The sequence below is a fragment of the Homo sapiens genome, chromosome 13, assembly GCF_000001405.40.
Source record: "Homo sapiens chromosome 13, GRCh38.p14 Primary Assembly".
NCBI classification, from domain to species: domain Eukaryota; kingdom Metazoa; phylum Chordata; class Mammalia; order Primates; family Hominidae; genus Homo; species Homo sapiens.
The window spans coordinates 71,487,438-71,502,796 of NC_000013.11; the positions used below are offsets into that span (position 1 = coordinate 71,487,438).

The following is a 15,359-nucleotide window of genomic DNA, read 5'->3' on the forward strand; positions in this document are numbered from 1 at the left end:
AAATAATTATAGTTCGAGGTGATGTGGATAACATTCCTAATCTGAGTATTTCTGGTCCGTAGAGTGTGGATGAATACTCCAAACTGAGAGGATTTGACTTTGAAATGTAGTGGTCATATACAATTCAAGAGTCCATGTGTCAAACCTGCTCTTCAGATGAGCATGCTGTTTTACACTGATGAAACCCAGAAACGTTTTCTCTGCTGAAATTGAAATTAAATCCTCACTGACCTGGTTAAAGAGCTTTCAGTTAATGACAATCCATGCAAATAGCTTTTCTTTTGCTTCATATTGAGTTTTATACATAAGAAAATGAATTATTCCTTTACTTTTCAGAACATAAATTCAGAAATGTTAAGGGATATTTTCTGAAAACATTTACCTTAACATAAGAAAAATTCATTAAAAGCACTATCTTATAATAAACAATAATATGGGTGAAATTTAGAAAGAAAAGTCTTTTGTTTTATATAATCGACTATTTGGCCATGATTTAGTATAGGCTGGATTGATGATTTTCAATTACTGAGTTATAAAACCTTAAAGTTGAATACAGTTCTGGAGACTCTAATTACATTAGTATTAAAAAATGCCATATTAATAGATGAGAAGATATGTTACATTAAAGGCCTTCTGTTATGTCCTTGGAGAGGTAAATAAAATTAATTACATTTCCACTGGGGGAAACTTTAATATGATAGGATATGTGTACAGAAAAATATTACTGAGGATGGAATGTTAGAGTAAAAGAATTTTTCTAAAAAGGAGCTTACCAGCACACTATCAGCAACTTCTGCCTACTACTCACTAGCTACCCAAATATGGAGAAGTAGATGACAAAAATCTCCATCTGGGGTCCACATGATCACTTCATGTGTGGGCAAGAAAATTATGCTTTCTTCTATCCCAAACACTCTTATTATCTTGGCTCCACACTCTATGTTATTGTTAACTGTAAGTATTTTTGATTCATAATGTACTGTACATAAAATATACATCCTGAGGACCACATAGGAAATCCGTGGAAAGTTTGGTAAGGCTTTTTGAAGTCTAGTCTTTGAAGAAATTCTATTAATTGAAACAAACTTATTTATGAAAGAAGGCATTTTTTTGGATTCTTCTAAATTAGACATATTTTAAATGACTAAACATATCATTTCCTCACTAGAAGTCCAGCAGTTTAAAAATAACTAAATATTTATTAGAACTAGTGTGCCGTTGTTTAGTAAAATCAGACAAACTTAAACAGTTAAATTCCTCCAATTAGTTGGTAATAAAGAGAGCATTTTAGACAGAATGAATTTTAAAGGCCTATGTCATTTTCATCTAAGTTTTTATTATGGCTTAATATACATATATATGAATATATATATATATATGAGTATTTCTAAGCTAATTTGATTAGTGTAACAGGTTTAAAATCTAAGTTGCTTGAAGAGTTTAATACCATGTTTCAGTCAGTCTAATGGGATTAAGTAGGAACAGTATAAATTTTGGAAAAAAAAAATCTACAACAGGGTGTTCCATATGTCTTTCTTCCAGGTTGTAAAAAGGCCTACCTGTATGTTAGTCAGAAGAGTCTCGATGGAAGACAGTCCATCAGGAAACAGAAAAGGAGATGGAAAACCTGGAGGCAGTGGTTGTCCATGCCCAGTTAGAGAGAGTTTGTCAAGGCTGTCTCTTGCGGTTGGTGTAGAAAGCGGGGTCTCATCTGCATGTGATTGAAACAAAAATATAGAACAAGTTACGCTTGTCTGTTTTTATTAGACCTCAGTAATGGCTTCCCTAGTGGTTTCCAGAACATTTATTGCAAATTGGTTCCTGCTATCAGGAGAAAATGCTTTCTGCTGAATTTTCTTTAATGAAAAAGCTGTGGAGATACAACAAGATAACATTAATGAGTAACTTTATAAGCCTTTTAAATGCAGTCTCTAATGAGACTGAGTTTACAGTGCCATAGAATCTTTTTAAAACAAATATTATCTCATATATAGTTGTGATAATATATTCAGGCTGACTTTATGGGCACCTTCCCAATTATCTCCTTTTAGTTTGTTCTGTTTGGATTGACAATAGAGTATTTCTAGAGCTCCATATAAGAGAGGGGCTTTGTATATTAGGAAGCTTCTTTCTCTATTAACCCTTCCTTTATATCAATGTTTGTTCAAATATATTCTTAAGGAATTTACAAAAGAATGTAAAGTTAAAATCTTTCACTTTACACCTAAAAAGAAAAACTGGAATCCAAATATGTATTTCTAAATTATAACTGAATTATTCATCATCATTAAAATTAAAGACATAATTTTTTTGAACTTGAAGACCTTTTACCTTCATATTGAAAAATTATAGCTTCCATACATAAAAAACGGTATAAAGGAAGAGTAATAAAATGCTACTTCTATAACAACATTCAGGGAATCAAATTTAAAAATCCCTTCAAAATAAACTAGTCTTATTGAATATTCTTCAAATTTTTAAGCAATTTAGAGTAACTCATGAATACAGATTCTTTTCACCTCTCACAGTGAAATCCTTTTATTCAGTTTTCTTTATTGTTTAACCATTTTTACAGTTTCACATAAGATAGATACAAGTTACGGCTTATTTTAGTTTATCATAATCACAGAGAAAATTTTATTCATGGCAGGATCCTCAGTTTTATAAATATTTTCATATTTCACCCCAGGAAAATTAATCAGAGCAATGTATTTGCACAGTCCCGATAGTATCTCTCAATTTTGCAAGTAGCTAAAAACTTCAGCACACTTGCCTTATGCTTATAATTTGATTCCACTGTTCTCCTCAATCATTCTTTTATTTTTCATTACACCATCTAACCACACAACACGTTTTCCAATTACGTCTCTCTGGGGCAGAAATATTGTAGAAGCTGCCACACTTCCCTGTCCCTCACTAATGTCAGAACAAGTTAAATTCATCTCCCTCACCTTGCCACATTTCTAGTTAATAAACCAAAAGGAAAGAAAAGCTGGAGAGGGGAGTAACGGCCAGAAGGCCTCCTATTAACTCCTCTCACACTCACGACTTTGCAGTTTCTCCTTCTACTTCCTCCTATGTTAACTTACTGAGACAGATGATCTGAGGCAGCAAGTACTAGAGGAAGAAACAGAGTAAGCAAACTAAAGTAGGACTCATGTTATTTTTCTTTTTAATCACACTTGTCACCAGGGTTAAAGAAAGATGGCCATGCAGGGGCAGGGATGCTGCATGGCTAATGTGAGCAAGGTGATCTTGGACACCATTTACCTAGCTATCATAAATTGCTCTTCCAAACCAAGGCTGCTAGTGTTTTCTCATAATAGCTCTGGAAAGGCACTTGTTAAACATATATGTGCATGTGAAATTGTTTAAGAATGGAGAGCAATATCTTTCGATCATCATCACCTTAGCTGTCACATGCTAAAGAAAATGTGGCTTAATAGATCATGGGGATAATAATTGCTTGTCTCTTGAAGAAAGGCATAGAACCAGATGACCACCTGAAGTTGCTTTCAGCTTTAGAATCTATGATTCCACAATTATTAAAGACTGTCCAAGAAAATAAAGAATCATATGTATGTGTACACATTTACACACATTTAGGCTATAAGTTTCATCATCCCCATAATTATTTGATTTAACTTCAGTGCATTTATGCTTGACTACATTTGGCTGTTGTGTGGATTAAATCATTAAATCACTCATGATGCATAAATTTATGTAGCCAGTATTTATTTAACATAAACAATGTGCTGGATACTGGAGATCAAATGCTAAAAACACAAACAGAAAGCCTCAAGAGGCTCATGTAGCCTAGAGTGACTGATTTCAATTGTTAAATAGCTAATTCCTATAGCCACTAATACAGTTTTCCTTCACTCATTATTTCTTCAGATACTCCATTTATCCAAATATAGCAGTAAAATTCTGTATATATATATGTACATGTGTGCGTGCATGCCTGTAAGCACATTTTTTCCTGCAGCTGTTTTAATGGAACGCTCATTTTGGGCCTCGTGGTTTCAGCTGTATGAGAATAGGCTATTATTTGTTACAAACTTATCTAATTGGATTCCTTCATTTATCATCTTACATAGCGAAGAGACTACGTAAGGACGCTTTAATTCAATATGTACATAAGAAATTAGCAAATTTGGGGCAGAATGTTTAAGAAGCGAAAAAATGATTCTTAAAGTCAATACACAATTTTGAAAAGAACACAAACAAACTACTTGAAGATCAAACAAACAAGAATATTCCTTTGGGTCTCATGACCCTATTATCAGACATAAAGTTGTCATCTTGTGGCAATTAATATCATAGAAGATTTCGTTTAGCTCTTCCTACAAAGATTGTAATATTGGGACCATGGTTCCACCTTTTGAAATAAAAGTGACCTTTGATTTCCTAAATGTTCTAAGAAGATTAAAGCAAAAGTTTGAGAGGCCAATGTAGAAGAGAGTTTTGACATCACATAATCTCCACTGACTTCAAAGAGTGAATGATGATGAAATACAAATTCACAAAATACCTTATTCTCATTGATATATCTGTACATATTTCTAAGCTTATCTTTAAGAGAAAGTTGGCTAGTCAGATGTCATGATTTTTGGATTAGTATAGCATTTGACAATGTAATTTCTTGTTTTTTTTTGTTTTCTTAAAAAACATTTTACTTTAAAATAATTGTATACTTACAGAAAAGTTACACGAATTGTACAAGGAATTCCTTCATAGTCCTGTAATGTGTGAATGGCTGACCGCAAACTATATGTTTATTCATACTTCCTGACATGTAACGACAAGTAATGTTATTTTACTTTAAAAAAGGGTTTTCACAGAGGGAATTAAGTTAAGATCTTGAGATGAGGAGATCATTTTGGTTTAGGATGGACCCTAAATCCAATGGCAAGTGTCTTTTAAGACAAAAGCAGAGAAAGGTTTGAAAGAGGCAGAAGAGAAGACACAGAGAAGAGAAAAGGCAAAGTGAAAACTAGGCAGATGTTAGAATGTTTCACCTACAGTTAAGGAAGGGAGACAACCACTGGAAGCTAAAAGAGATAAAAAATGGCCCTTGGAAGGAGCTCATTTCTGCTGACACCTTCATTTTGGACTTCTAGTCTCCAGAACTGTGAGATAATAAACTTCTGTTGTTTTAAGGCACCAGGGTTAAGGTCATTTGTTATGGCCAGCTCTGGAAAAGTAATAAAACTCCAGTTCACCAATTGTTTACATTTTGTCACTTTTTTTTTTTTAAATTCTCTCTCTGCTTCTCTCCCTCTCTTGTTCTGTGTGTGTGTGAGTGTGTGTGTGTGTGTGTGAGTGTATGTGTGTGTGTATGGTGTGAGGGAGGGTGCATATGTTTGAACCATCTTCCCCAATTAAGCCTTAAGATTTCAGTGTATATTTCTTAAGTACAAGGACACACTCTTACATAAACACAGTCCAAAATCAGCAAGAATAACATATGAAGAATACGATGATTTAATCAAGAGTCCACATTCCAATTGTATTATTTTTGAGATTTTTTGTTTACGGTAGTTACATAACAAATATTTTAACTTTTTTGTGACATGTTCTTAATGAGTTTTTTTTTTTTTTTATGGGCATGTAGTAAGCACGAAGTGGCCTCTAAGAGGGACTGTGATGATTTCTTATCCTGTTAGTCACACCCTGTCTGGTCCTTTTCTCTTGACCTAACAAAAAGAATACAACAAACATGAGATGTCACTTCAGAGACAGAGATTTGGTTATAAAATGTCTAGCTTCCATTTCTCTCTCTCTTTCTTTTGCATTGCTTGCCATGGGTCAAACCAGTTGACATGACATGAGACAGCCCTGTGGAGACGTACATGCAACAAGGGACTGAGGGCCAACCTCACGAGTTGGGTTGAAAGTAGATTCTTCCTAACCAGTTAAAGCATTAATGGCTGCAGCCCTGGCTGACAGGTTGATTGATTGCAATCCCATGAGACCTTAAACCAGAAGCACCCAGGGAAGCTGTACCTAGATTCTTGAGCCACAGAAACTGTAGGATCATAAATCCTACATAAATGTTTGTTGGTTTAAGCCACTAAGTTTTGGTATAACTTATTACACAGCTATGGATAACTAAAACAGTATGTAACTTTTTCTCTGGCAAATATAATAAAAATAACTTAAATGTTCAGTTAGTATTAGCTGCTTTGGACGTGGAACAACTTCTTTCTATTCAATTTCCTCATTTACAAAAAAATATCAGGTTAAATGAGACAAATGTAGGACCACACAAATGTAAAATTCCACATTTTCTAATACTTTTTATAAAAATTTATAAAAAATTATTTAAGTGGGCTTCTCACCTATTATGATGAAGAGTAACAATGTATCAGTTTGGAGTTAGAAATTTTAAAAGTTTTAAAATTATTAATTTCAAAGATTTATGAATATCTATGTAATATCTGAAAAAGAATGAGTCATACAAGTAAAATTTCAGAACAAGTTATTAATTACTTAGGTTTACAAGCTCCACTTTATAAGATTCTTAAATTATCTTGTTTTCTTTTATTAAATTAGATCACAGTTCAGTCACCTATAAGGCAGCACTCCCAATACCTTTGATGGCAAATCAGATGCAGCAAAAAGTGCATCTTCCTAGGAAAAAAATTAAGCACTTTCAAAAGATGCAGTAACTAGAATACTGTTATTTTTTAGAGGACTACACATGGGTAGGGTCTGGCAGTTATGCTAGTTCTCTACATTAAGTTGTTAGTGGAATGAAACCATTGCAATTTTCAGTTTTACAGTAGTATAAAACCACTGCAATTTTGATACTTTGAATTTTGATTTTTTTTTCCTGGGTTAGCAATATGCAATGGTATGAAACCATTGCGATTTTCAATTTTACAATGGTATAAAACCATTGCAATTTTGATACTTTGAGTTTTGAATTTTGACTTTTTTTCCCCTGGGTTAGCAATATGCAGTATGTGAGATATTTAACACTTTATTATAAAATAAGTTTCGTGTTAGATGAAGTTGCCTATCTGTAGGTTAATGTAAGTGAGCACATTTCAGGTAGGGTAGGCTAAGCAATGACGTTTGGTAGGTTAGGTGTACTAAATGCATTTTTAATTTACAATATTTTCAAATTATGATGGGTTTTATCAGGATGTAATGCCATTGTAAGTTAAGAATTATTTGTTTTTTAATTCAGTTATTTGAAACTATAGTGGTTTTCTAAAGAAAAATAAAGCAGCACATATTATAATCTTGACCAGAAAAACTACTTATTAACATCTTAATAATTATATAATAAATACATTGATAATTATAACAACATACAGTCAATTAGAATAATAGAAAACAAAATGAGAAACCAGAAATGGAAGAGAAGAAAATGTTTAAAAATTAAGTCACTTATCAATAACTGACTATCAGTAAGATTGATGCCTCTGTAAGACAAAGTATTTTTCTCTCCAATCTTATCACACATAACAATTTAGCAGGATATCCTAAGGAACAATGTTGTTTAAAAAAATAATGGGCCTCTACTTTTAAAATGTTTTCTTTCCTGTTAATAAAATCTAACTCAGTTGTTATTTTCATAACTAATCCCTTTGGGTTTGGATTATATATTCTCTTTCAAGTTAATGTGTGTCTGTGTGTTTTGGTCTCTAATGTCTTTTATTATATCACAAATTCCAAATAGAAAAACACTCAATCACTTCTAGAAAAGCACACATTACAAAGAGATTCACAATTATTCATTTCGAGTTGAAGTATACAGTATTATTAAAATGGAAAATATCTCCATGTTTAATGTTTAAAACAGATCTGGGAGTTTCCTTGAAAACTCTCTATTTCTATACTGGCAAAGTGAAGAAGATTTTAGCAAAATACTAGAGAATAAAATAGTTTCCATACAGAAGTAAACAATTACTTATAAAAATATAAAATTTTATTATATTAATAAATGTCCATCACAAATATACAGAAAGATACATTTATAAGTGTTTTGGCAAACTTACTAGACATATTAAATTGGAGTAGAAGTATAAATAATCTATAGATTAAGGGTTGGTGCCTAAAAAATTTTGAAAATTATTTCCAGACATAAAACACAGTTGTTTAAACTGAGCTCAATTGTAACCTCAGTACTGATTCATTCTCACTCTAGGCACTCTCGGCTTAATTTAGCAGTAGATACTAATAATAAATTTTACAGAAAGAAAAAATTACAGATATTGATGAGGGTGTAAAGGAAAGGGAATATTTATACATTATGGTGAGAATGTAAATTAGTACAACCTCTATGGAAAACAGTATGCAGATTTCTCAAAGAACTAAAAAGAAAACTACTATTCGACCCAGCAATACCACTACTGGATACCAGCCCATAAGGAAAGAAATCGTTATATCAAAAAGATACTTGCACTTGTATGTTTATTACAGCACTATTCACAGTGGCAAAAATATAAAATCAACCTAAGTGTCCATCAGGGGATGACTGGATTAAAAAATGTGATACAGGCCGGGCACAGTGGCTTACGCCTGAAATCCCAGCACTTTGGGAGTCCCAGGCAGGTGGATCACTTGAGGCCAGGAGTTAGAGACCAGCCTGACCAACATGGAGAAGCCCCATCTCTACTAAAAGTACAAAAATTAGTTTGGTGTGGTAGCATGAATCTGTAATCCCAGCTATTTGGAGGGCTGAGGCACAGCACAAGATTGGCTTGAACCTAGGGGGCAGAGGTTGCGGTGAGCGGAGATGGCACCACTGCACTCCAGCCTGAGCGACACAGCAAGACTTTGTCTCCCAAAAAACAAAAAAATTGCTATGTATATATATATATATATATATATATATATATATATATATATATATACACACACAAAAAGATATGCAACATATATATATATTGTGTATGTGTATATATATAGACAAAATGGAATACTATTCAGCCATAAATAAGAATGAAATTATGTCTTTTGCAGCAATATGACTGGATCTGGAGGCCATTATCTTAAAACAAGTCAGTTATAGAAAGATGAATACTTCATGTTCTCATTTATAAGTGGGAGCTAAGTAATGTGTACAAGGACATAGAGTGTAGACTGATAGACAATTGAGACTCAGAAGGGTGTGGGAATGGGGGAGGTTCATGATGAGAAATTATTTAACGAGTACAATGTAGGCTTTTCAGGTAATGGATATCCAAAACCCTGACTTCACCACTATGCAGTCTATCCATATAATAAAATTACACTTGTACCACAAGAATATATACAGATAAAAAAAGGAGAAAAAATTATCAGGTAAATGTTTTTTCTTTCTACCTCCATCTTCTCAGAAAATAAGGAATTCTGAAATATCACATTAAAATTTATCAAAATGACTTTTATATATCTATGCTGATGCATATAAAATATCTAGAGGTATTTGGGAATAAAACTTATTTCCTATATTTTACTTAATGCCCATTCTTCAAATTCTGGATTTAAAGTTACTCCAGAAATTTTTATAAAATTGACACCAAAATGCAAGACATGATACAGCTATGGTAAAATGAAAAGCAAACCAGGCTTGATTAAGAAAGTATGAATTCAAGTCCTGGCTCTACCAAGTACAAGCAAATTTTAGAGCTAAGAACCTGTCTCTTATTTGAGACTCATTTCATTTATTTATTAAAACGATGATTACCAATTCAAAGGATTATAGTTTAAATCCAATTAGATTATGCATGTGAAAGTGCTTTGTAAAATATAAAATACTATATTAATATAAAGTATGAATGGATGAATAATTAACAAATAATCCAATCAATTATACATTTTATAAATTTCATTTTGGAAACTTGGCTTCAATGTGCCACGGAGGAAATTCTGTTCTTGTACCATAAGCCTGTGGTTTCTTCCTTTTTTTTTTTGAGACTGAGTTTCGCTCTTATTGCCCAGACTGGAGTACAATGGCTCAATCTCGGCTCACGGCAACCTCTGCATCCTGGGTTCAGGTGGTTCTCCTGCCTCAGCCTCCCGAGTAGCTGGGGTTACAGATATGGGCCACCGTACCGGGCTAATTTTGTATTTGTTGGTAGAGACGGGGTTTCTCCATGTTGGTCATGCTGGTCTCGAACTCCCCACCTTGGGTGATCCGCCTGCCTCGGCCTCCCAAAGTGCTGGGATTACAGGCGTGAGCCACTGCGCCCCTGCTCTAAGTCTGTAGTTTCTATATTATGTCTCTCTGATAAGGCTTTGATGAAGATGTATAATGTTGATGAAAGAATTATTACTGTATACATCAGTTTCCTTATATGGACTAACCCTGAGTTAGTTTGGTTAAAATTGACTTTGATAGAAATAATTTGGGAAAGGGCAAAGAATATGAACTGGTTTATCAATTTCTCTTCAGGTGGCAGGACCTAGAGGAAATATGTGTTGACACACACACACACACACACACACACACACACACACACACACAGATACACAGACACACACACACATACACACACAGTACAGGTTTTGCAGAAATAGACTGTGAATAACATAAAACCACTTAAGAGGCTTCTTGGATATACTTCAAGCAGCATTAGAACTCTGAATTTTGAGTTTGAGTGAATAAAAGAAAAAAAAATATATGGGAATGAAATCATTGTGTTTGGCAGAATGTTGGAGGTTTGCTACAAAAATACACCAAACTCACAGTGTTGCCTAATTTAATGCATATGTATTCCACGCTTATTATATGCAACTATCACCTATATCAGTGAGTCTTAACTTTTGAATAGTTCTCTTTTGAGATGCTTATGAAAGTTGGGGACCACTCTTTTGAGGAGGAAATCGATCATCTAGTCGCAGCTACCTAACATATAGTAAGTACTTATTAATATTTACTGAAAGAATATGTGAATGAGATAAGGCAAAGCAAAAGCTGGAGGAATACAGACTGCAAAAATGAGAAGGATATAGTCTTTGCCTGTCCCAGGGTTATACCACATCCATGATAGTAAAACTAAAAATACCTTCTATTGGAAAACCACTCTATTGATTACGAGGCAATTTCACAGACATTATCTTGAGTTAAGAGGAAGCTCTAGGAATAAAATTTTTTAAATGCATGCATTTATAATCTCAATAAGGTTATATGCCAAAAGAGTGATTCAAATGGCACCTGGTGCTTATTTAGAAAAAAGAAGAGATTCTGTTTAGATGATGTGAGTTGAAAGGGGAAAGAAGAAAAAAAAAAAAAACCACCATGGCAAGAAACGGGCACTGAATTTTGGGGAAGACTTAACTAGAGGGAGGTCAAGAGGTTGTATGAGGAAACCATGCAAGGATAACAGCTCAAGAAAATCAGGAACCCCAATTCCCTGAAGAAACTGTATTTTTAGGGGGAAATCATATTTTCTATTATTATGCTCAAAAAAGAATCTTTAGTTTCTGGCTATTCTGTATCTGTATTTCAAAAATTTCTGTATTCAGAAATTCTAAGATCAAGCTATCTATTAATATTTCCAATCTTGGCCTTGACAGCAAATCCATCATTATCTTAGCAAACTCATCTGAGGAGACAAAACTTGAGAACTCGGGTATCTGTGTACAGAGGTTTTTGTTCCTTTGACAATTTGAAATTTCTTGGAAAAAAATGGAATGGCACCAAGCATTAAACACACACACATGCGAGCACGCGCACACACACACACACACACACGCAGACACACACACACACACACACACTGATTTAACTTTCAAATATTTTGGGTTGCATTCACATCTGCTTGACATAAGTCATCAGTGTTTATGCAAGAACTGGCATAGCTTAGGCTGAAAAGATTCACTTAATTGACCTTTCTGTCATTTCCATGACCCAGTAGGTTTAACCTCACTGCTGATACTGCAGGTGAATATGGGAAAGCATTTATTGAAAGCTGCAAAACAGACACGGTTATATTTCCTAGGTTGATGTTTTGCATATCTGCACAGTAGGGCCATTAAGTGTTCTAAGAGCACAACGGAAACAATCATAACATTTGTTTTTAGATGACTGACTCAGAACATGTACACCAGGCTTTATATAGAAACTGTTTTTGTTTTATTAAGGGACTGTTTGCCTGTTAGTGATAACATCATTAAAAATAAATGAAAGGGGGCTGGTAAAATGCTTCCCAAAAGCAGAAACCTAATTAAAGGTGATATGCCTGCTATGAGGCTTTTTTTTCAGAACTCAGAAATAGAACAAGGTTAGTTCTTTCTCGTTTTATAAGGCCCAAAGAAGACCTCACAGTAAAACATCACTTCTGATCTAATTTTCTATTTCTGTGTACTTTAATAATCTACTTTAAAGTCTGCGCTTGCCCATAGAAAGTGAACCAGTTTTGTGCCTACAGATAGATTCTTCCTCATGTCATACCGCATGAAAAGAAAATCTGATGGTTCAGCTCAAACAAAAAATGCACTCCCTTTTAAAACAAATTGTAGAGGTCGTAAGATGTTCAGTAATAGTAATAGTAGATGCATAGTGCACCCATAAACATTCCACAGCTCTAAATGACCACTTTTGAAAGTCTGAGTTAATGATTAAAAAAAATTTCCAAATCAAGGTTTATAATTTCAGAAAGAAAAAAAAAAGTAGACCCTTTTATTTTAAGGGGTGGAGTTACTCTAATTTCATGGATGGTGGAAAAAGCAGGAAACTGCATTCCCTTGATAACTCTGCCCTTATTGTGCTGTGACCTTGGCCAATTTACTTAAATTTACATCTGCCAAAAATGAGTTTCTGAAATGTGCTTTGAGAATTTTCGGGGGGAGGGAGGAAGAGTTGTCTCATAAATCCAAGGCCTTTTCAAAGTTAATATGACTTTAGAAGTAAAGCAAAAATGAAGAGAAATGCTAGGCACCATCACAGGGTGCCATAGTTTGATACCCTGTTCTCTTCTTATCAGCTCTGCATAGCTCTAATTCATTTATGAGTCTCCAAGCCGAAAATGAGTGTCATTGCTATGTGAATAAAACAGAACGATTCTCAAATAATACCCCTGAAATACACACTAGCTCTGGTGTTGAGGACTGATATTCAAAGTCTAATTTGCACGTAACTTTTAGACTAAAATTATCATGGAATTATAAAAAATGTAAGAGGCCTTTGGAAATCACCTCATCTACATTCTTCATTTTTCAGATGAAACAAGCCCAATAACTGATTGACCCAAAGTTTTTCAAACCCAAGTCTGAAGATTCTCATTTCTTTTCTCATTAAAAGATAAAGTGTCAATTTAGACGAAATACATGGAAAGCACAATATTTTGAATGATTCCATGAATATGGCCACCCACAAATATACATATATAGACTGAACTCTGGCCTTTTTTTTTCTCTCACTCAAACTTCTATCTAAGAGGCCTAGGGAGTCATGCCCTACAAATCATAGAATCTACTTAAAAAGTGGTTTTTTTTTAAATTAAGCCTGAATATTGTGGCTCAGTTTCCAATCTGACTCTGTTAGAGCATCATAGGACCACAGACCCCTTTATCTTAACTTAAGCATTCATTTCTACGAACTTCAAGTCTTTAAACAATAGCTTAACTCTCTCAACTGAAATTGTCAATCAAAGAGTCTCTAAAATCCACCTATGACTGTAAAAGCCCCTGGTTCGAGATGTCCTGCCTTTTCAGATCAAACCAATGTATATCTCTCATGTATTGATTTATGATTTTCCCGGCAATTCCCGTTTCCCTGAAATGTATAAAATTAAACTATAACTCGATCTCTTCGGGCGCACTTTCCCAGGACCTCCTGAGACTGTGTAACACGAGGCTGCAGACACTCACATTGGCTCAGAATAAACCTCTTTAAGTATGTTAGCAGTGCTTGGTTTTTCAGTCATCACATATACGCATATATGAAAACAGGTGAAATGTGAAGCCTAATGGGATATTTAGTAAATGTTAAGAGATTTTAGGAGTGATAAAGATTATGTGTTTGTGATTTAAGAAAAGATTTACCCATCTTTAGAAAATATACACTGAACGTAAAGTAGAACAAAAAAGAAAAACATTAAAAATATGTACAGATTACAGAGCATATGTTTGAGATTTGCTTCAAAAATCTCTGGAAGAAGGGAAGAAATTGGGTGGAAGTATGAGACAAGATTTGCCTTGAGATGACCATTGTTAAAACAAAATGATGGGTAGGCATATGGGAATTCAGTACTCTTCTAATTTTATGTATATTTGAAATTTTCAATAATAAAAAGTTAATAGAAAAGGAATACTACTCAGTAAAGATTCTATTAACTTATAACTTATTCTTTCTTCAGAGTCAGAGGCATTGCTATGATGATGTTCATCATTACCATAAATAACTAGCACACAGAGAGTGCTTCCTATGTGTGCAAAGCAATGTTTTAAATGCTTTGCATGCACTGGCTCATTTAATCCTTACAACAATTCTGTTACTGTTTTACTAGTGTTATACTTATTTTACACATTAATATGTAGAGGTAAAAGAAGTTAATTAACTTGCCAATGTAACTCAACTAGGAAAGACAGCAGCCTGAATTTGAGCCCAAATAACCTTATTTCACAGCCCATGTTGTTTAAACACCCAAGGAGTAACACACAAATTTTTTAAGGGCATTCAAAAATACATTAATATGTGCATTCAAGTTTGTGCCATAAATATATATTCAAAAAATATAATTGTATCTTGGAATAGAAGGCAAATGTAGAGATTTTCCATTTCACTCCTCCGCCTTAGGACTTGACTTATTCCCTAAAACCAAGCCTATGTTCACATCAACCAGCCTAGATTCCATCAAATTGACTACTACTGATACACTTATGATTATTTGTGATTATCTGTGATTAATTGCTAAGATACCTATCCCAGAAATGAAACTCCAGAATCTTCCCAGATGAGACTAGAAAATTCTAACCATGAGTATAGTGGACATTTAATATCAAGTTTAACTTTAGGTAGCTTATGCAGAATATCTCTTTGGAAATTTCTCCACCCTACACCTTATCAAATGCTAACCATACCAACAAGGTCTATACTTCCCTTGTCGGAGCTGTTTAACCATGAAAGTACTACTTTTAAATTGATGCATGCATTCTATGGGGTAAAAACACAAAGTCTACTTAAGGATTTTTAAAGCAAAACAATTATTGTCCAAGAGGTTCATTTCAGAAGGAGCAAGTCTCATGCTTTACCCATTTATCAGATGCAATTAAACCTTGGATAATGCAACAAATTATCTTCTGCATTTGTCCCAATTTAGCTTCTCCTGAATTCCTTCATCCTGTAATCCTAGTCATGAATCTGCCTCATTTGTCACCATAAGAACCTTGTGTAGGTTTCCAAATCACCGTCTTTC

The 15,359-nt window shown here is 34.0% G+C and overlaps 1 protein-coding gene across 5 annotated transcripts in view; it reads right to left on the reverse strand.

Annotated features, from left to right (window-relative positions):
• DACH1 (dachshund family transcription factor 1) overlaps positions 1 to 15,359 on the reverse strand; it is a 429,239-nt gene that overhangs the window by 49,472 nt on the left and 364,408 nt on the right. For all 5 annotated transcript variants that reach the window (NM_004392.7, NM_080760.6, NM_080759.6 and 2 more), the window contains one exon: positions 1,560 to 1,711. In NM_004392.7, the coding sequence (NP_004383.4) occupies positions 1,560 to 1,711 (152 nt within the window). The remainder of the gene's footprint in view (positions 1 to 1,559; positions 1,712 to 15,359) is intronic.